General features: G+C 44.9%; 1 protein-coding gene across 1 annotated transcript in view, besides 2 other annotated features; it reads right to left on the reverse strand.

The window, feature by feature from the left end:
- Positions 1-20,398, reverse strand: part of MYO5B (myosin VB) — a 372,359-nt gene extending 351,961 nt beyond the window's left edge. The window contains exon 1 of the mRNA NM_001080467.3: positions 20,018-20,398. Within this exon, the coding sequence (NP_001073936.1) occupies positions 20,018-20,044 (27 nt within the window). The 5' untranslated portion in view covers positions 20,045-20,398. The remainder of the gene's footprint in view (positions 1-20,017) is intronic.
- Positions 20,073-20,312: a silencer, noted in NCBI's record as "silent region_9453". NCBI's record gives its function as "represses an Ori minimal core promoter by ATAC-STARR-seq in GM12878 lymphoblastoid cells {active_cell/tissue: GM12878}" and the evidence as "EXISTENCE:reporter gene assay evidence [ECO:0000049][PMID:35858748]".
- Positions 20,373-20,612: a silencer, noted in NCBI's record as "silent region_9454". NCBI's record gives its function as "represses an Ori minimal core promoter by ATAC-STARR-seq in GM12878 lymphoblastoid cells {active_cell/tissue: GM12878}" and the evidence as "EXISTENCE:reporter gene assay evidence [ECO:0000049][PMID:35858748]".

Here is a 22,164-nt window from a genome sequence, read left to right on the forward strand (position 1 = left end):
ATGCACATGTGTGAAGTGGAAAATGCCTTATGTTTCTTTCATTTGATTGATCATACAAATGCCTTACATAGGTGCTAGTGATTTGCCCAGTGCAGACATGCTGCCACTGCAGAAGGTGTCTGGCCTCAGACATCAGGCCCTGTTCCTGGAAGAACATATCCCATGCCAAGTCTCTGGTCAAGTGACAAGCAGAGTGATGGCTGGAGGAGTCTGAGGGCAGCCAGCCAGGCCACTGGCACATCTTGGATCTGTCGTTAATGAGATGCTTGATCTAAAGCTAAATCATCAGCTTCCAGGACACTATGGGGAAGTGACATCTAAAGAAAGGCAAAACAGGTCCCACCCAGCCTCTCAGGGAATCTGATCCATGTCCCCTCAGTAGCCATTCTTCTATGGTTGACCCAAGCAACATTCTGGGCAAGGGGATTCATGCAGTATCAGCCTGCCAGGTGGCAGACGCCACACCATGCCTGCCTCCCTCTTTACTTTCACTCTCCTCCACCATCATGATCATCCTTCCTCTTTCTAATCTCCTTCATTTGTTCTCATCCCTTTTCTGTCTGCATCCAAGCTTGCAACCCACAAGCTGCTTTATCCTAAAAGACAACAGGTGGTCATCTTCCATTGCCTTCCTACCTCCCACCATTAAATAACCACAACATGGAACTAAAGCATGTTTTAAACTATTTTCTACTGAATCAGTAAAAGCTTGATGATTTCTGTTCTTAAGATCAAGTGAGTTGGAAACCTATTTCTTTAAGAAAAACAAAAACCATCAAATTTTTTTAGGTTTATTTTTATGGGTAAGTAGAATCTCCAGAAAATGACTTACTCCTTCCTCCTTTTACTGTCTATGTGAAGTTATTCTTTGTCACTGTAATTTTATATCCTCCACAATAAGCAGTCATTTCTAGACACCTTTCAGGTGGGCAAGAAGTTTTAAGGTCATAAAGGTCAAATTCTTACTCAAAGGTGAAATTCTTACTCAAAGGCACTCCCTTATGGCATCCTTGCTGGAAAGCACAGCCAGCTCAGATACCTGCAGAGATGAAGACCTCACTTCTGCACAGGCAGCCCATTCCACCACGGAGGGGTTGAGGGGTGTTCAACTGACCACGTGCCCCTGCACCAAGCTAAGTCCACCTTCCCACAACACATACCCATTGCTGGTCATACTGCTTTTTGGAAGAACTCAGAGAGGAAATACATGAATTCCACATGACAGCCCTGCAGTATTTTAGGATTATATCTCCTTTTCCCTAGACTATAAGTCCTGGATCCCCAAGCCATTCCTCACATGCTATGGTTTCCAGGCATTTTGCTGTCCTGGGCATCTACCTCTGAATGAGCTCCATTTACTAAGGTCCCCTTAAAATATGTCATTGAAATCAGAATATATTATCACGGAATCACATCTTATTGGGAGGGAGTTGGCTTAATGCTAAAGTCAATATTAAAGCAAAAATCATGCAGCACCCAAATTACCCTTGGAAATCCCTTGCACTGCCCATGACCGTGGTGAGATGTTCTAACTTCAAGAGGCTCTGAACTGCCTAAACAGACTCCCTCCTTCCTTCTCACTCTTGTCCCTGGGGTATCCTCAATGAGCTTGTCAATGGTTCACACAACTGAAGTTATTTTTTCTCATTTTGTTGGTTGGTTCCTTGGGGATTTTTGTTCACTTATGCCTAGCACATATAACTGCATTTCTGAAATTTAAATGCATCCATGAGCCAGATGTACCCAAGCTGTAAAAATAGTTGCCACTGTTACTTAGTCCTCTTCAAAGGAGGTGTTTTCCTAGAGTCTTCAAAAGTTCATCCTCCCTTGCATACCTGGTCCCTGATCAAAGTTTGGTCCCTGACCAAAACTTCTTGATGGTCAAAGAGCCACCACTCAGAGTTCACCCAAGGAACTTTGTAAAACTTCCATTCAAAAGTCTTTCTTTTTGCAAATTGTTGTCGTGATAATTAAAAGAAATCATAAAGAGGTTAATGTGATAGCAATCTTACTGTAGTACATAAAATCAACAGCACTATCCTTTTCTAAAGGCTGCAACTATTTAAGCAACTGCTTTTTTTGCTCCCATAAGACAAGTGTGCACTCATGAATGTCGTTTATCATCCCAAGTGAAAAAGTTTCCAGCACAAGTTTCTTGCCTGTGTATTTATGGTTACATCTGAAGTCGTCTTAAACTATGTTAGCCTGCCAGGACCATAGAAATTGTAGCTAACACCTATTCATTTAAGATGAAACATGTTGCACTGTAAGGGAGATAATGAGCATTGAGCTTTGAAAAAATTTCACATGACACCATTGGTTAAAAAATTCCAAAACAGTAAAACTAAAACACAATTATATAAATCAGGATAACCCTAATTTCATGGAAACACAGGCCATCTTATTTTTTTAAAAAAGTTGGTGCCAAGTGAATTTTATCCAAAAATAAGCTTCAGCAAAGGACTACATGACAAAAAAAGGTACAGCTCCATGCAGAGGCAGCCCTGAAGATTCAGGAAAATAGACGCCTCCATACTTTGAATATTACCGTGTTATTATACACTAAGGGGTGGGATGAGTTCTAGAGGAACTCATTTTAAGGTGGCAGCTACAATAATCAAATGCTTTTAACAGCTTGTAAACGTTTATGTTTTGGTTTTTATATACTCCCGTCTTTGCCTTCTTCCTCAAACAGCATTGTAATTTATGGGAATCATTCTCTTTGATGTCAATAATGTTCACTCAGCAAGCAAACAAAACTTCAGCCCTATCCCCCACCCATCCAATCAGGCTGTCTCCTGTAAGTCCTGCTCTCCTTAACTGCCTTGAGCCCCTCCCTGGAGTTGGTGGGAGGGAGCAGTTTTCCAGGTGAACAAAGTAGGGATTCCAAGAGTTCTTTTTAACTGCTCAGAGAGAACTGCTCTGAAGGCTGAAAGCCCCCAAATGATGTGGGTCTTCATCACCACCCACTGAACTGTGGTTCTAGACAGAGCATTCAGTCCTCCTAAACTGATCTGAGGCAGGGATAGGAAGGCATGTTGAGAGACTGACATGCAAGGCAGGCACACCCAGCCACAGGGAATAGCAAGAGGTGAAGCCTCCTGGAGCACTGTCTTCACAGCTGCCATGACAGCCAGGCAACCTCTAACTGCCTGCAGTAGAGGGGTGCCACAGCCCATCCTTCTTGTCATCTCCAAAGGCAAGAATATTGTTAAATACCTCCTTGATACACTACTCCTGAATAGCACTTATTGCACTGTAATCCTTAATAGCAAGGACTATGTCTTATTCACCTTTTACACCCGGCACCATGCTAAGCATCAAAAAGACTCTCGAATACTTGTGTCTGTTATGTAATACTACCCAACCCACCGAGGCTGAGTGGAAGACATCTCTGCTGTGGGGAGAGGGTAGTTGTGGCGCACACAATCAGCTGAAAGTGACCATTTTCACAAATCAGAGCGTTAAAAGCTTCAGACTCAGATCACCACCAATGCTCCCAGCCCAAACTGGCACAAAGTAGAATCAATGCCACTTCCCACTGATATAACCCCCTGCTAAATCAGAAAGTGTGTATGACTGAAAAATATCAACTTCCCTGTCTGGTGCCATGAACTAGCTCAGATATTAACCACTGTTTGCCACAGTGAATAACTACGTAAAAAAATTCTCATTTCTTAGTATCCACAGTACTCAGCAACAGAAAACACTTGAGATGCATAAACATAGCCCAGCAGGGAAGTGCAACAACTGACCCCCTAGCAAAACACAAAAAGCATAAGGCAAGATTTTAAATTCCAGTGTTAAGCCAAGAGTTTACTTATTGAGTGAGATTCAGCAGAAAACAGTTATAACCTAAATAATTTGGCTGGCACTCAGCTGCCTCACTTTAGATACAGGCTACCATTCCAGGGCTTCGGGTATTATTTACAGCTCCAGACACATCATCATTCTTTGGCCAGCATTTAGGCAGTTTCTGATTTCTGAGATGGTTCACATTGCAATGTGAGTGCAATTCAGATGGACATCTTCGCATCTGTCCCATTAACTAAGAACTCTCTCCACGGCTAGTGTTGTGTGACTCCAGTGGCCTGCTGAAAGGGGTTTGGTTTCACACTGCCAGTCAGATTTCAGGGATGTTAACACAGTGGGCCATCCCTAGAGCCTTTATTAAAGATGGATTACAGAAGGTTAAAGTGTGAGGCAACTAAGGGAGTGGAGGAAGCAACTGGAGGGGAAAAAAAAGGTGAGGACCTAGAACACTTTTAGAAGAGGAGATAAAATCCAAGGAAAAAATGTTTATTATTATACTAATAAATAAATGGCAAATCTTAGGGCCGATAGCCCAGCATTATTTTTAGGGGGTGACAGCAGGTTAAAGCTCTTCCAGACATGAAAACCACCAGCCACCACCAGAATGTAGGCAGAGATTGATGATAGTTTAGACTCAGGCAGAAGGATGCAAGTTCCATAAATAACCACAATCCAGCAAGAAGTGGAAACCAGGCCTAGAACAAGTCTCCCAAATCCAGTTCTACAAGAGACACAGCAACTGTATCTGATGCACCCAAAGTAGAAAAACCAGGTCTCTGGTACCAGCAACCTCCAGTTTTGATGGAAACATGGTTCCCAGTGACTAAGCCATCTTGGGAAGTTCCTTCATCTGAAGTGGGCAAAGCTACCTGAACCGGGTATAGGAAGCTGCCCAGGAGTCAGCAATTAAGAGGCTGCCTTCTACAAAAGCTTCAGAGCTTGGGTCATAATGACAGGGACAACGGTGCATAGTGGAGCCAATCTAAACTGGAACCAGAGACTCAGAAAGGGCATTAAAACCACACAGCAGAGGTGAGAAGACAAGGAAAAGAGCCAAGGACAAGAGTAACTGAGTCTCCTTGCCAGCACTAGCACAGAAGGCAATGCACCCCTGCTGCTGATGGGACAGCCTGCTCTCTAAAGCCATGGAAGGCTTCAGCATTATTCTGGTCCCCTAGTACTGTGCTGGCCTATTAGGCCACAGTTCTCAGACCAGCTAAGCCTGGTTCCCGAAAGAGCCTCATCTCCCTTAATGCCTAAAGCATCCTTAGAATGAAGCCTATGCCTTGCAGTGCCCTTGGACCCAAAATAGCCAAGAATACCAAGTGCTAGGAGGGACAAAGATAGACACAAGCATCCTGTTGGTGGTATCAATGCGGGATGCTCTTCTCAACACAAAGTGCAGGAAGGTCCATAACCATAAGCTATGGAACACTTAGGTCCGGACCTCTAGGGCTGAAGATCTGACAGGTGGTCCTCAAAACCAGGATCTTAAGATTCCTAAGGGCCTTCTCCACACCTGAAAAGGAAAAGCATGTTGTAACCTCGAGGTTCCCCATCAATGCTGGTGCTTTGTTAGGTGAGAGGACCAGATCCAAGGCTGCCCACTCAGAACCTGAGGAGCTGGAGCCAGTGATTCAGCAGACAGAGCTCCCTTCCCAGCCACTCTGGCGCCCACCACACTGCCCCGCACTGGGCTGTGGCTTCCCAAGGACATGACCTTCTCCTAGTGATGTGGCTATCAGCAACTAATACAGTTCACACATTACCTCATTTCATCAACAAGCCTGAGGGGTGTCCTAGACTCTTGCTCCTGGTTTACAGATAACTGAAGTCTAGAGGTTATGCCTAAGATTACACAGCTAGAAAGCTGAGGAACCAGGACTCAAAACCCAGGCCAATCCCCCATCTAAACACCTAACCTCTGTTTTCCAGTCCTCCTTCCCACCTACCCGCTCCCCGAGTTTAGTTTTTACATTGTGGTAAGATACACAAAATTTAGCATTGTCATCTTTTTAAATGTACAGTTCAGTGGCATCAAGTACATTCACATTGTTGTACAACCCTCGCAACCACCCGTCTCCAAAGCTTTGTTTTAATCTTGAAAGACTGAAATTCTGTGTCCATTAAAAACCCTGCTATCACTCTACTTTCTGTCTCTATGAATTTGACCATTCTAGATACCTCATATAAGTGGAAACATACACTTATCTTTGGGTAACTGTCTTATTTCACTTAGCAAAATGCCCTCAAGGTTCATCCTTGCTGTAGCAGATGTCAGAATTTCGTTGTTTTTTAAGGCTGAATATATCCCACTGTGTGGGCAGACCACATCTCATTCATCCATTCATCATTCCTTGGAATAGTCAAAAGGGTGCTCCCTGCTTTTGACAATCATGGATAATGCTGCTCCACCTCCTTATCTTTCATTCACTTACATTCAGCACCTGTCATCCTGCCTGACACAGCAGGGGGAAGAGAGTAAAAAGAGTATTCACCATCCACTTTCAAAAGTGCATTTTAGGAAATTAGGTGCAATGGGCTTTCCATGTGATTTTTAAATCAATAGATATTTATTAATGCTATTATACTTGTCATAAAATTGAAGTAATTATATGTTCATACACTAAGTTAATTGTACTAACATACATATAATTTAAGTGGAACTATAAATCAGCATAACTATAAAATTCTGTCTTTAAATTGTTAACCAAACAGACCAGAACTGCTACATCCAAATGAGTATTTTCCTGACAATTTGGAAAGCTCTACATTTATTGATCACTGGGAACATTCAAAGCCTAACTGTAACTCCAGATGATGATGGCTAGTAAGAGGCCTCACAAAATTGGCATCCATACCTGGAAGCAACACACAGTCCACAATAGCAAGATAGTCAGTGAGTCCTCACCTTACTCAACCAGCTTAGTTGTGTGAATAACTTAACTATTTCTAGAACAGAAAGCCTATCTTCCAGACAAAGATATTGTCACCATAGGGAGGACTCAAAAGCACACACCATCAGGTTTGAAGCCAGTTTCATAAGATGTATTGATGAGCTACAGCATCTGCAGCCCTCTGCCCAAGTGACCACCCCAAAGGAAACAGAACACCTTCAGACGGTGCAGGATGTAGCATGCTGGTCATAAAAATCCATCACATTTTATGGGCATTGCCATCATTTTGGTGCCTGCAGCTTGTTTCATAGTCACACACATACACACAGTAAAATGGCAATTAAAAGGGCAAGCAGCTTGAGAGCAAAGAAACATTAGTTTCTGGCTGAGGAGACATTCATTTTCCTTACTTTACAAATAAATATTATCCCTCATTACGGAATTCAGGCAAATTGAAAATGTGATTAAATCTGATGATGGGATAAGATAAGGCAATTTATCTCCCTTTAACATACTAATACCTCCTTAATGCTTATTCATACGACAAATGAACCGTTGGATTAGAAGAACTCAAGGTCAAAAGCCTACTTTTGCCAGGGTGGGCTCTTTCTCCCAGCCTCATGTGCTGGCTGTAACACATCCCAGTGGTGAGACAGTGCTCCAAACCTTTGTTGCCTGCGTGATGAATACGAAAGATGGTCTGAACCTTCAGGCAAAAACTATGAGTACTGTTATCTTTTCTAGGTGAGAGAAGAAAACAACTCGATCTAGTTTTTCTTCCTGGATTCACTGTTTTCTGTTCTGAAAGCCACTGGCTTTGCTACATCTAACAGGACAGGTGGATATCCATACATGCCCCCACCTCATCATGCAAATACCCATGGGTCTTCATAAGACTGGTTTTGGGGGTGTTTGTTTTCTTCCTTTGGCCAGCTTGGTGGAGAAAGATTGTTAATAAAACCTTTTGAGTTAATTGGGGGAAAAATAGGAGACTGTGCTCTTAACAAATGATAACCTTGAGAAGGTAAGGGCAAAAATATGTGCCCAAAATAACGTGTAAAATTAGGATATTCAAACACAAGGCAGTTAAATTAACTCTCACATCCATGAATGTTACTTTGCTGATATTCTACATTCACACCTTGTGCTAAGCCTTTGAGCACTGTCATAAAAAAGAAAAACATTTAATTATCTCCTGACAGGGGCTCCACATTCCATAGACTTTGGCAAGTGCCAGAGGAAACAGATGGGCTTTCTACTGGTTATGCCAAGCCAAAAGCCTTTCCAAAATCACAGAAGGTAATGTTACAGTCAAGGAAGGTGGCTCCTTGGTGAGGAGAGGACTTTCCTCAAAGAGCCATGCCTAGAACCAGGCTGTGGGGGGTTGGGGGGTTGTAGGTAAACTTTAAACCAATTCAATGATATTTGTTGAGTTCCTACAGCATGCAAAACCCCACCCTGGGAACTGTGAGGGATGTGAGGCTAAGATTCTACCTACAACTTCAATGACAGCAATTTTGCAAATATACACACTCAACCACCAATTGCGTACCCAAAACAAAGAGTAATGAAACAGTGAATCTAAAAACTACCTATGACCTCAAAGCTTTTGATTTGGCATTGCATCTTTTAATTTGGCATTATAACTCATCCTATTTTCAGCAGAACCACCTTTTTTGGATAATTGATGATGCACGGTAATAAAATGAATACCTGTGAACTCACTACCCAAATTAGACTGTTAATAGTACAGTTTCCCATGCTGCTCCCCTGCCACTCCCACCTCCCAGTAATTATTCTAGACTGTTTTCTTTTCCTTCATTCCCTGGTGTTTCCTCAATTTTATCATATATATATATATATATATATATATATATATCTCCTTCAATACTATTCATTTTGTTTCAGAAATTCTAAGAATGGTATTATTCTGTATGTATTCCTCTCTAAAGCACATTAAATGATGATACCTAAGCTGGGCCTTTGACTAAACAAGAAGATGAGGAAAGGCTTCCAGGAGTCTCAGGTCATGGCCCAGAAAGAAAGCAAAATGCCTATTAAAGTGTCAAGCATGGTAGGAAGGAGGCAGCTTTTCACTGGAGGATGTTAAGTGAGAGATGGAGCCAGGAAAAGTGGACCAAGGCCCTGAGAATGAAAGGATGGTTAGTTTTAGATCAGAAATACCCAATTTTAAGCTCCTTGAATTTCAGGTATGCTGTGGTTTAGATATGAATCATTTGTCCTCAAAGCTCATGTTGAAATTTGATCCCCAATGTGGCGGGGGTGGGAGGCGGGGCCTAGTGGGATGTGTTTGGGTTATAGGGGCGGATCCCTCATGAATGGTATGGTGCTGTTCTCATGGTAGTGAGTTCTCACTATAGTGAGACTGGATTCGTTCTCCTGGGAATGGATTCATTCCCACGACAGTGAGTTGTTATGACAGGATGTCCCTCAGATTTTGTCTTTTTGCACATGTCTGCTTCTGCTTTGACATTCTCCACCATGTTATGACATCAGGACAGCCTTGCCAGAAGCCAGGGCAATGCCCTTGAACTTCCCAGCCTACAGAACTGTGAGCTAAATAAACCTTTTTAAAATAAATTACCTAGTCTCGGGTATTCTGTTGCAGCAACACAAAATGGACTAAGACAGTGTACTTTGTTACACTTTGCCTTTTTGAAGATGTGGATCTCGTTTGGGACTACATGGCCTAAGGAAAACCAAAAGCAGGGGTTCTGCCTACATTTGGGACAGAATTTTAAGAAGCACCAGGATGCACGTGGGGCTGGGTGTGGTAGTGGTGGCAGTGGCAAAAGAACACAAGCAGGATCAGACCACCTGCCGTTCTTTCTGCACATGGACTCGATCCTTCTCTGATCTTGGTGGGTTTTCTGTTGCTGGGGCAGGGAGAGTTGCAGGGCAGTGCTAGGCAGAAAGGACCCTCTATATTAGGGCCCCTTATATCCAAATGATGTTCTGACTCACCATAAATGGGACAGATAACCTCATGGAAGGCAGTAGAACACAGTGGTCAGAAGCTGGGCCCTGAAGCCAGGCAGCTTTGGGAAAGTCACATAAGCCTGTGTTATTGTTAAATGAGCTAACATGTAGTGCTGAGAAGTGATTTGGCACAAAAGCACTCCATAACCAGTAGTTGTCCAACTAGAGGGTTCAAAATACATAAGCTCAGAACAAATGAAGGGGAAAATACATGCCAAGGTGCTTTATTCTTTAAATGTATATATTGTATCCTGAATATTCTGGTTTCCATGTTTTCCTATCTCAAAATATAGAGTGGACTGGGTGCTGTGACTCATGCCTATAATCCCAGCACTTTGGGAGGCTGAGGTGGGAGGATCACTTGAGGCCAGGAGTTCAAGACCAGCATGAGCAACATGGTGAGACCCTATCTCTACACACACACACACACACACAGAAAAAAATATATATATATATATTATTTTTAAGTTAGCTGGGCATGGTGTCGCATGCCTGTTCCCAGCTACTTGGGAGGCTGAGGTGGGAGGATTGCTTGAGCCTAGGAGATTGAGGCTGTAGTGAGCCATGATTGCACCACCACACACACTCCAGCCTGGGTGACAGAATGAGACCCTGTCTCAAAAAAATAAAAAATATAGAGTAGTCATTTAAATGAGCAAAAACAGTTATAAATAATGCCAGTTAATACAAACAAGAAATATAAGGAAAACAACACATTGTTCCCAGTGATCAATAATGTAGAGCCTACCAAGCATGTGAACAGAGGCTCAACCCTCCAATGAAAGTCAACTTTAAAACATGTGTAAAACATTTAGTATGAATAAGAATTTAAAAAAAAAAAAAGAGAGAGAGAGAGAAAGAACAATGACCCGAACTTAGAGTGGCGAAGAAACAGACTGGTTCTCTTGTGGTGGCTATTGGCCATATCAATGAAGACTATAAATGTGCATGCCAGCAATTCCAGCTTTAGGAATTTATTCTGAGAAAATAAATGAGGTTACAAGAACAATCTTTCACAGTATCAAAAGATTAACAATTTATTAGTATGTTCAAAAAAGCTAGAAGATAGGATCTTGAATGTTTCTAATGCAAAGAAATGATAAATGTTTGAGGTGGTGGATAACCTAATTGCCCGATTTAATCATTATACATTGTATACGTGTATTAAAAAAATCACTTGAACCCCATAAATTTGTGCAATTATTACTGTCAACAAAAAACAAAAGGAAAATAATTGGAACCAACCTAAATGCTCATCAGCATGGGAATGGTTAAACACATTACAGTATATGGCATCAGATCTTGGCAATTTAAAAAATGTATATTTTTAAGAAAAAATTACAGTACATCCATATGCTGCCTTGTGCAGCCATTAAAAATGGCAAAATTGCCTTTGTAGGCTACAGGAAAAGATAGCCATAGATTAAGATTTAGAGTAATAGACATGGCATGATCCCATTTGTTTTGAGTACATATTGTGCATAAGTCTAAAGCAGCACTGCCCAAGAGAAACAGAATGCAAACTACAACTGTGAGCCACCTGTGGTACTTTAAATTTTCTAATAACCACATTTAAAAGGTGAATTGAACAGAATATTTTAGCCAATATATAAATAACAATCACTTCAACACATAACCAATATAAGAAGTATGAAGGATATTTCGCATACATTTTTCTAAGTCTTGGAAACCCAGTGTGTACAGTACTGCACGCTTCCAGCTCATCCCAAGCTGGGCCAGCCTCATCGCAAGTGCTCAGCAGCCACATGCAGTTACCCTGTTGGACAACGGAGGTCCAGAGAACATGCCTAAGTGGTCAAGAGCAGCTGTTTCTGGGAATGAGACTACAGAGCTTTTGTCTTTCCTGCATTGTATGGATTGTTTCAATAATCATTTGTATTCACAGAGGGAAAACAGAAGCATTGTGAAAAATGCTTTTTAATTTTCCTTTAAAGCTATAATAAGAGACCAGAAAGCACAGGTTAAACTTAAAACTTCTTTCAGACTGCTCTTGCTCCTTCCCCAGGGGTGGTGGGGAGTACCATATCTTGTCTACCGCTCTCATAGTTCATGTTTGTAGCAATCCTACTTCCTCTTTCACCAAGTCTCCTTGTGATCAAGACCCCTTCAGGACAGCAGGGAAGGGTTAGGGGAAAAAACATGCTAGCCACATAATGCTGACTGCCACCCAGCATGGTGACTGGAGGGAGAAGCAAACTAATGAACAGTTGCCAACACTATGTTAGACAAGCACTTCACATGGATTAGGATTATAAGCCTCCAGTAACCTTCCCATGGTGCAGGTACCACCCCAATTCTTCAGATAAAGAAATCAAGGCTTAGAAAGTATCTGTTCCAATGTGTCGGAGCTGAGAGCGCCACAATATCCAGGGTGTCCACCTCAAGATCATAGTCACAAAGGCCTTGGAAATGCCCATACCAAGCTCCTGATCTTACCCTTATTAACACCATGCTATCAGACAACTGCATTTCTTCATTAAAGAAAAGCAAATCCCAGGCATCATTTGCAAGAACCCCAGATCCTGACATTTCTCCTCTAAGCTCTTTCGTAAATCTCCAAATGTAAATAAATGCTTTCACTTAGACAAACCATTTTCATCCCAAACCCAACATGTCAAAAATCAAGAATTATCCCTGCTCCAACCTGACTTCTGTCCACACTCAAGGTGGATATTTCAAGTTCATAGTTGACTCTTCTACTTCCCTTGCCCTTAATAAAACATTTATTGAGTTCTAGTCTCTGTAATTTCTACATAACTACAAAAAGTAGTAATGAGTACACCTAGCAACCAGATCTTCATTTCTAAATTCCATTCTTCAATAAAAGGAAACTGACAGGCATCAGCTTAACCAAGGGATCAAAGTGATCCGTCAGTAACAGGACACATTGATATCACTGTCTCCTGAGGTGATGCAGTGAGAAAGGCACAGCATTTATGATGTGTTCTTGCCCAAAAGTCACAACCTCCATGTAAGCATAAGACAGTCTGACAAACCCAAAATCATTCTACAAAATTATTGAGAAATGCTTTTTTTGGGGGGGTGGGCGGTGGGCAGACAGGGTCTCACTCTGTCACCCAGCCTGGAGTGCAGTGGCACAATCACAGCTCACTGCTACCTCAACTCCCAGGCTCAAGCAATCCTCCCACCTCGGCCTCCAGAGTAGCTAGGACCACAGGTGCATGCCATCACACCCAGCTAATTTTTTCTATTTTTTGTAGAGATGAGGTCTCGCTATGTTGTCCAGGCTAGTCTCGAACTCCTGGGTTTAAGGGATCCTCCCATCTTGGCCTCCCAAAGTGCTAGGATTACAGGTGTGAGTGACTGTGCCTGGCTTGACCAATGTTCTTCAAGTGTCAAGGTCATGAAAGACAAAAAACTGAGCAACTGTCACTAGAGGGGGGCAGGGAGCTACAACCCTAAAGGCAATGTGGAACCCTAAACAGGATCCTGGCCCAGAAAAAGAACATTAGTGAAAAAGGTGGTAAAATTCCGGTGAGCTTTATAGACCAGTTAGTAGTATTACAGAAATGTTAACCTCCTGGTTTCAATAATTGCACTATGGTTATATGACATGTTAACACTGGAGCAATCTGGAAAAATATAGAAACTGCACTATTTTTGCAATGTTTCTGTAAGTGTATATTTCAAAATAGTTAAAAATAGTGCTATAATTATCCCCATATACATCTAGCTCATACCTGTCCCTATGCTTAAACTCACTCTCCCCTGTCTCCTCCTGAGAGAACATCCTTCTTTACAGCCTCCTCATGCATTTCAAATCCTATTCATTCTTTAGGCCCCAGTCATGTCCCACTACACCTTAAAGGAAGCCTTTCCCGCAATACTGTAGCCCACCAGACCAACACTTCTACAAAATGCCTGTAACTTGTAGAGGAGTATGTGCACTCCTCTAATGACACACAGATAATCCTGTATTGTTAGTGTACTTTGTGTATTTAGCTTTTATCACCAAACACACTGAAGGCTCCTAAAAACATCTGGTATGGCCTCTGTTCTCCAGAATCTCAGCCTACTTAGATAAAGCATCACATAAAAACTATCAACAAGGCTGAGGTGGGTAGATCATGAGGTCAAGAGATTGAGACCATCCTGGCCAACATGGTAAAACCCCGTCTCTACTAAAAATACAAAAAGTAGCCGGGAGTGGTGGCACACACCTGTAGTCCCAGATACTCAGGAGGCTGAGGCCGCAGAATCACTCGAACCCAGGAGGCAGAGGTTGCAGTGAGCTGAGATCGTTCCACTGCACTCTAGACTGGTGACACAGTGAGACTCTGTCATAAAAAAAAAAAAAAAAAAAAAAAAAAAAAAAACACACACACCTATCAACAAAGGAGGGCAGGGCAAGAGCCTGCTCAATGATTACAGGTTACAGGCCATTGGAATATGCCACATCCACAAGTCACAAGTACAAACTTCAAAATTCTGATGATCGCCAACATGGTGAAGCAGGATCCACTGGGCTTATAGGCCCATCTGAAAACGGGGAGCAGAGGATCAACGGAATTGGAACTAGGGATGAGAGAAGAAAAAAACCACATGCAAGACAGAGAATGAGCCTCAGAAGGAAAGTGACAGCATGACACACAACCTCCATGCTTCTTTTCAGCCTTTCCTGGGACCATAGAGGGGCCAAAGCCCTTGAGATTCTCAACATCCACTAAGCTAAGCCACCATGAGTTATGGTTAACTTGGGCTCCTAGAATCTGATCCTGAGACAAGGATTCCTGCTCAAGAGACTTGTAAGGCAGTGTTTTCCGGAAAAGACTGGTAGGGGAGTAGAGAAGGTGGACAAGAGAGGGAAGGAAGTCAAGCTAACATGTGATACTAAGGAAAGTCCCAAGCATGGTAACTTTAGTTCAACTGTACAAAGAAACTGAAAACAGTATGGGTCATACTTTAGAGCTGTTCCATTCTCAAGGTGACAAGATAGGAAACTAATGTCATTACAGTGCCATTGGTTAAGGACTGTTCCCTTTTGCAGAGTGTCAATTCCCAGGCTCCCTATGCACACAGGCAAAACAGCTTCAGGAGCTTTGACAAAGAGATGGGTGCTGGCTATTGGGAGTGAGCTAACACCAAGGCAGTATGCAGGGAAGGGAGTAAGGGGGAAACAATAGGAGCACTAACAGCATCTGCTGACACTTTTCAAGTCCTCATGTCTTTAACACTGTCACCACTTTTTGGAAAAAAGAACATCACTCAGAGCCACCAGCAAAAGAAGGAATCATCAGCCCCTCCAGCAGGGGTGACTGGGTACAGAGGAAACAGGTGGCTCTTGCTGCCTTCAGACTGACACTTGGGAGAAACTTACATTACCTGAGGTATAGGTAAGGGACTGTTAAAGGACACCTGCCCAAAAGCACAGAAGATCTATTTTTCAAATGATTGGTCCCAAATCGCGCCCTTAGTAAAGGCTCCTGGGTGCAAAGCTGCCATACATATGGTGTGTCTGCCAGTAAAGTAACCTCCCAGCAGCACTCAAAAACCCACTGCTCAGACACTACCTATCAATTAGAAGCCAAGCAGGAAAAAAGGTTATTTGAAGGCACTGGTTTCAAGGCACCAGTTTCAATTTGATGATTTCTCATTCACTCTGCTGGCTAGAATCAAAGTAGCATATTGAAAATCCAGGTATTTGAAATAGCAGTATTTAAATTTTTTGTTCCAAGTAACTCTTCTATAGATAAGAGTTGTATTATTCAGCCTGAGAAGGAGAGGTTACATTTTATGCTTTAAAATCAGACTACTATCTGCAATCATCATGATGAAATGGTATTCACCATGCTTGCACATGTGTGGGCTTCTTTCTGGATCTATGCAAAGCAAAGCCCACATTGTCTTTTCCAATGGGTTGGAAGCCAAGCACTCACACTGACCACATGCATGCCACTGTGACAACAGAGACCATCATCAGCTCCACCTTTGGAGCTGATGTGAGAGTGAATGAGACTGACTCACTTTGACATCACCCTGAAAGTGTCTGGCACTGACTGGTGCTCTTTCTCCATCCAGAAAAACCTCACTACAAAGAAAACAATTTCTCAAAGGTGAGGTGTTGGGTCTTCTGAGAACAGGAGTGTCTCTGTTCAAAGAGAAGTGCCCTTTGGCCCCCGACCTACCAAAAAAAAATCACATAACATATAAACTGCCACTTGAAGGGAACAGATCAAGAAGAGCAAGAACACATTTAATTGGATGGAGGGAAAAAGAAACTATTTTCTTAGATAACTAGAAATACACTAATTTCTTACTGAACAGTATTTAATACAAGCTAATATATATTTAAATGTTTCATATTCCAATAATAACATCTTCTAACTATCACAAAAGCAACAGGTATAATCAAAGGGCTTTAAATTTTCCATTCCCAAAAATGTATAAATGCTGTTAGCATAATGGGTAATTATTTCCATCATACATAATACATTGATGTGTGTGTCTGGCTCCAGTGTTCATCACATTAGGAAAGCCCACTAGCAAGTTAAAAATAAAAGGGAACATTGGCTATTTTGATAATACACTAAAATGAATAATCTCTAAGAAACAAAGTGAATCTGAGTAGCAGGCACGACTTCCCTGTGTAACTTATGATTCACATGCATACTGAGAAGCCAGCTTGGCAAGTGGGGAGACCATGGTTAGGCAACTACACAACTGCTTCTCATAGTAAAGCACAAGTGTGTTAATTGCCAGGAAGAATAACAACTGCTCAAAACATAAATCTAGAAGATACTGTCTTGGGTCCCAGAAAATCTCCTTAATTTCATAATCAAGACCCTAAATGATTAAGAACTGGAAACCCATTAACAGAGCAAGGTGCAGCCCAGCAGCCCTTAGGGAAGAACTCTAATATTTGTTTGGGATTAATTATGCCAACCCCTCACACCAATGAAGCTACTTTTTAAGTGTCTTATATCCAAGACCTTTCTCTGGTGACACCAGTTTTGTACATCTCCATAACCTGAGAAAAAGTACACTGAAACCCAAGTTCAGACTCCCACTACTTCATCATTCCTAAGAATTAACATGCAATGTATTCATTTCTAACTAAAAATCAAATTGAGTGTTTTCTCCTACAAGTATTGTCTTTAAAAGCAATCCGATATTAATTCTTGTTCTTCAAAACTAGGGCTCCGAAGATTAAGGGTTTATTCAATTGTCCATTAGCCTCATATGAGCACTATTTCAAGGTCATGGAAAATGCATATCATGGAAAAAAATTCACATGGATTTCAGAGTTTTCTGCACCAAAACAAACCCATAGTTTTATACTTGTTATAACAAGTATGAATGGGATCTAGAACAGGGTCTAGTTTGAGGCACTAAGAAAGTTAAGTCATCAGTTTGAAAAGAAGCCCCTATCAGGGCAACATGAATTCTACTAAAATTGAAGCAAGACCAAACATCAAATTTATGACGAAGTGTGGAGAGAAGAATTGTGAAATCATGACTTTATGAAAAGTTTATGGGGACAATCAGTTTTTAAGTGGATAATTCATTTGAAGAAGGGACGAAGCGATGTCAAAGATGAAGCCTGTACCAGCAGACCATCCACACCCATTTGAGAGAAAAAAAAAAAAAATGTAGCTTGTTTGTGCCCTAATTGAAGAGGGCTGACAATGGTAGAAACAATAGCCAACACCACAGACATCTCAATTGGTTCAGCTTACATGATTCTGACCGAAAACAAAGTTGAGCAAAGTTCGCACTTGATGGATACCAAAACTGCTGCACCCAGATCAACTGCAGACAACAGCAGAGCTTTCGATGGAAATTCTAAACAAGTGAGATCAAGACCCTGAAGCATTTCTTTGAATTGTAACGGGATGAAATGTGGCTCTCCCAGTACAATCCTGAAGACAAAGCCCAATCAAAGCAAAGACTGCCAAGAGGTGGAAGAGGTCCAGTCACAGCAAAGATGGACTGGTTCAGAGCAGAGATCACAGCAACATTTTGGGGGAATGCTCAAGCCATTTTGCTTGTTGTCTTTCTAGAAGGCCAAATGATGAAGACATCTGCTTATTATGAGTGTCTTTAGGAAGCCAAAGCTTTAGCAGAAAAACACCCAGGAAACTTCACCAGAAAGTCCTTTTCTGCCACAACAATGCTCCTTCTCATTCCTCTCAAAGAAGAGCAATTTTGCAAGAGTTTCTGTGGAAAACTATTAGGCGTCCACCTCACAGTCCTGATTTGGCTCCTTCTGACTTTGTGTCCTAATCTTGAACTAAATGACCTGCATCTTTTCCAGTTAATAATGTAAAAGAGACTGCATTGACATGGTTAAATTCCCAGGACCCTCAGTTCTTTAGGGACGAACTAAGTGGCTGGTATAACTTAAAAAAGTGTCTTGAACTTGATGGAAACTGTGTTGAGAAATAAAGTTTATATTTTTAATCTTTTAACTCCATTTTTCCCCCACAAACTTTCCCCCTCATATAATACAGCAATTCAATATTGCCTGACAAAGGACTTTGACACATTGTAGGTATATTCAGTTGAGTCACTCCTTTTACTTAGGAGCACAAGTTGTATCTCCATGCACTTTAATGTAACAAAGCTTCGGCTCTTTGAGCACTCCAGTTCAGATTTTTCCCCTGCCTCACTGGCTTCCAGCCTCCAGTCCCAGCTCCTGAAAACCTAACCGGCTTCAGTGAAAGAACTGAAAGCTGAGCTTTTAGGGATCCTCCCAATACCTCCACAGCTAAGAGGGGTGGGGTGCCGTTCCAGGGCCAGGACTGTCACAGAGTTCACGCCCTGGCTCCCACCTCCTCCCCTCCTCCCCCAGAGGCCGTCGCCCATCCCTGATCGCTGCACAGGTGGCCCCTGGTGGGCTCGGAAGCTGTATTTGAGGCTGCTGCGGCCCCACCCCCAGCCAGGTGACAGCCTCCGCGGCCACCTTCCTGAGCATGAACTCATCCCGGCCCTGCTCCCCTCCAGGAGGAATGGGAGAGTTGAATAATTCCTCAAACTTAGAAGGGTGGCCAGCCCACGGAGCCGAAGGGCTCCCACATGGGCTAGACAGCCGCGTGTGATCGCCAGGTAAGGACGCGGAAGTGACTGTTCCTACCCAGCCCAGACCTGTTGGCCCGGGCGGGTGTCCCGGGAATCGCATACCCACGCAACGCGCGTGGACACCACACGCACACACAACTCTGCATGGAGGCGTGTGCATAGGCACTGTTAAACGTGTTTTGGCCACCCAAGAAGACGAACAGGAAAACCAGGCATTGGACTATCCAAAACTTGTTTTCTTAAAGGTGCATAGGGCACATGTGAAGAAAAGGCCTTTGCCCCTCTCACTACTGACTCCAGGTTGAAACTCGAGGGGTCCCGGGCGGCTGCAGCGCTGCCGCGAGCTCCCCTGGAAGCGGTGGCTTGTCCCTAACTTTAACCACAGCAACTGCTGCGGAACGCGGGCGTCTCCGCCCGGGCTGCACCTGTTCCCGATTCGGAGCACCCAGCCTCACACATCCCTTCTGACCTTGAAGGCATCCTGAAACTCACACCCTGCTCCCGGTTCGACTTTACTCCAACCCCCTCCCCGCAGTCACTGAAGCCCTCTTTGTACCAAAGAGGCCGCGTCAAAACATCCATCCCCAGCAAATTCACAATGCTCTTCCCTGGGGTCTCCGGAGATAACGGCGCACCCCTCTACCCATTGCTTACCCTCACTCCATCCAGCCGCCGCGCCCTCACGCCAGGTTGTCTCCTCCCTCTCCACCAAGTCCAGAACCCCCACCTCTCCCAAGTCCAGGGTTCCCTGTTGTGGGTATGCGGGAGGAAAGGACGCCTCGGAGGCGCGCCCTCGAGAGCCGGCGCCGCAGAGCCCCTGGGGTGGGGTCCACGGCGGGGACAGGGGACAGCAGCGGGAGCACCGCGGGGGCCCGTCCCGCGCACGGCGCTCAGAGCTGGCAGGGTCGCCCTGCCGTTCGGGGAACTCGGTTGGAGCCGAGCCCAGGCAACGAAAGTGAGGGGCGCGGCGGGGAGGGGGCGACAGCCCTGGCTTGGTGCTGAGCCGTGGCGCTGCGGAACCTCTAGGAGCCGGGTGGCCGGTCAGTGCGGGCGTTCCCGGAACCGCCAAACTTTCTCCGCCAACCGAAGTTAGGGACTCCGAGGACAGTGACGAGGAGGACACCGCGGAGGGGGGTCTCCCGTCACCTCCCGCCTCCAGTAGCCGAGGGAGAAGGCGACCCTGAGTACTAGGTGGCCCCGAGCGCGCCACCCCGGCCCCGGGGCGCCTCCCTCGCGGCCGCGCTCACCTGGCTGTAGAGCTCGCCCACCGACATGGCCCGGGCCGGGCGGGGCTCGGGCCCCGGCTCCTGGCTGCCCCGCGGCTCTCAGTCCGCGGCTGGCCCGCCTGGCGCCATGTTCCCGGGCTGGCCTGGAGTTTCTCGATCTTCTCGCTCTTCTCCGACCTGCCCCGCCGGCTTCCCGCAGGCGCCGCGGCCGGCTCGCTCCCGGCGGCGCGACCTTTACTCCCGCCGCGGCGGCGCAGCTACGGCCGGACAGGAGTTGCGAGCGCCGGGGGAGGAGGCCGCGCCGCACCACTCCCCTCCCAGGTGTGGGGAGGAGGCGAGGGCCGGCGAGGAGGGAGGACCCGCTCGCGTCAGAGCGGACGGCCCGTGCGCCGCCGCGCCTCTGAGCCCTGCCGGTGCCCGGCCCGACGCGCCCTCCCGCGCCCCCGCTGCCACCTGGGCCTCCGGGCCGGGGGCGGGGCGCTCAGAGAGGAGCTCCGGGACCGGCGCGGGCCGCCCCCTGCTGGACGCCGCGCGCGCGCAGGCACAGGTGCGCCCCGGCGCCCGCACCTGCCCTGCCGCGCTCCGCTTCCACCCGCACCGGGCCCCGCGGAGTCCGGCATGAACGCGGTGCAGACAAGAAAAGGGAAGAGGAACTAACCAGAGAGGGGGGAAAAAAGAGAAGCGTCTATGGCTGGAAGGCCCCAGACATTGCCCTCGATTTTACCTGGCTGTATTCAGCGCTTTCATGATTAAAATTCAGTTACTCGTAGATCGTTATTAAGGCGACCTGGATATACATACACCAGGGATCTTCTCCTTCAAACTGAACTCTCTGCGCGGAAATCCTTGTCAGTAAAGTGGGAGTCGTAACTCCTTCTGTACAAATATTGTCCACTTTCGCCCACAGCCTCCAAGGAGACTCCAGGCCACTCATCTCAGAGGGCTTCTGCTTTTCCGGGAAGTCTCACGTTCTCCCAACCCCCGTCTCGTCTACATGCAGACTCCGGGTCCTTTTGCCACTCACTACCTCGTTTATTTGTGTTCCCTCTCTGACCATGGCACTTGGCTGCCTGCAGCAACTTCAGCTCCTCTCCTACTTCCAGTGAAAAGTAGAAATTTCAACCAAGAAAAAAAAAAAAAAACTGCCAGAAGTCTGTGGAGGGAGACGAGGGGCTGTCAGAGGAGACACTCCCTTCTGAAGCTGACATCTGTCCCTGACCCAGGGGTGGCCCCTGAAAAGTGGTTCTCAACCGGAAGATATATCTGTACCAGCCGGGGCAGTTGTTCAAGAGCCCCAGAAGGTGATTCTCAGAGGCATCCCACCTGGAACTCAAGATCCCGTTGTAATTCACCTGTGCAGGCCTTCCCATGGGCACCTCCACAATGAGAGTCACATGGGGAGCTTTAAGCGTTCCAAGGAAGAGGCCCCAACCCAAGGAATTCTGATATAATGAAGGATGGGACCTGGGTATCCCAATTTTTAAAGCTCCTCTGAAAGTCTAAAGGATGGTACTTCCAGGGTGACAAATGCATTGACCAAAGCTTGGGCGGCTCTCATTGGACCTAAAAATGGAACTCTTCACATCAGTGGCAAGAGCAGAAAGGGATTTTTTTCTCTTCCTCAAAAGTTTTTCTGCATATTTCCCTTCCCCGGATTCCTGTAGCTCTTAAAGTGTGTCCCCACCCCCCACGCCCACCATCAGCATCACCTGGTAACTGTTAGAAATACAAGTTATTGGGCTCCACTGCAGACCTACTGAACCATAAACTCTGGTGTGGGGCCAGTACTCATTGTTCTTTCTGCCTCCAGGTGATTCTCCCCTTTTTGAATAAGAAAGTCATCAGTCCTGCCTAGATCCTGGCCTCTTCCTCCACCACCATTAGTGGTCCCATCTCTCTACCAGCAACTCTTCCTCTCTCCACTGGCCCCTGGCTTTTTGTGTTTTCCTCTCCTGCTAAACTTCTTAAAGCAGTAGCTTCACTTATTTAGCTATCTCCACTTACGCCCAGTACCTCCTTAATTCTCTGATTCTCAACACTTTATGCACATCAGAATCACTTTTGAAACAAGTGGATGTCTGGTTCCCACTCCCAGAAATTCTGATTTAACTTGTCTGGGGGGTGTTGCCCTGGGTGAAAGGATTCTGAAGAGCTCCCAGATGGTTCTA

Source organism: Homo sapiens, chromosome 18 (assembly GCF_000001405.40).
Source record: "Homo sapiens chromosome 18, GRCh38.p14 Primary Assembly".
In the NCBI taxonomy this organism is placed as follows: Eukaryota; Metazoa; Chordata; class Mammalia; order Primates; family Hominidae; genus Homo; species Homo sapiens.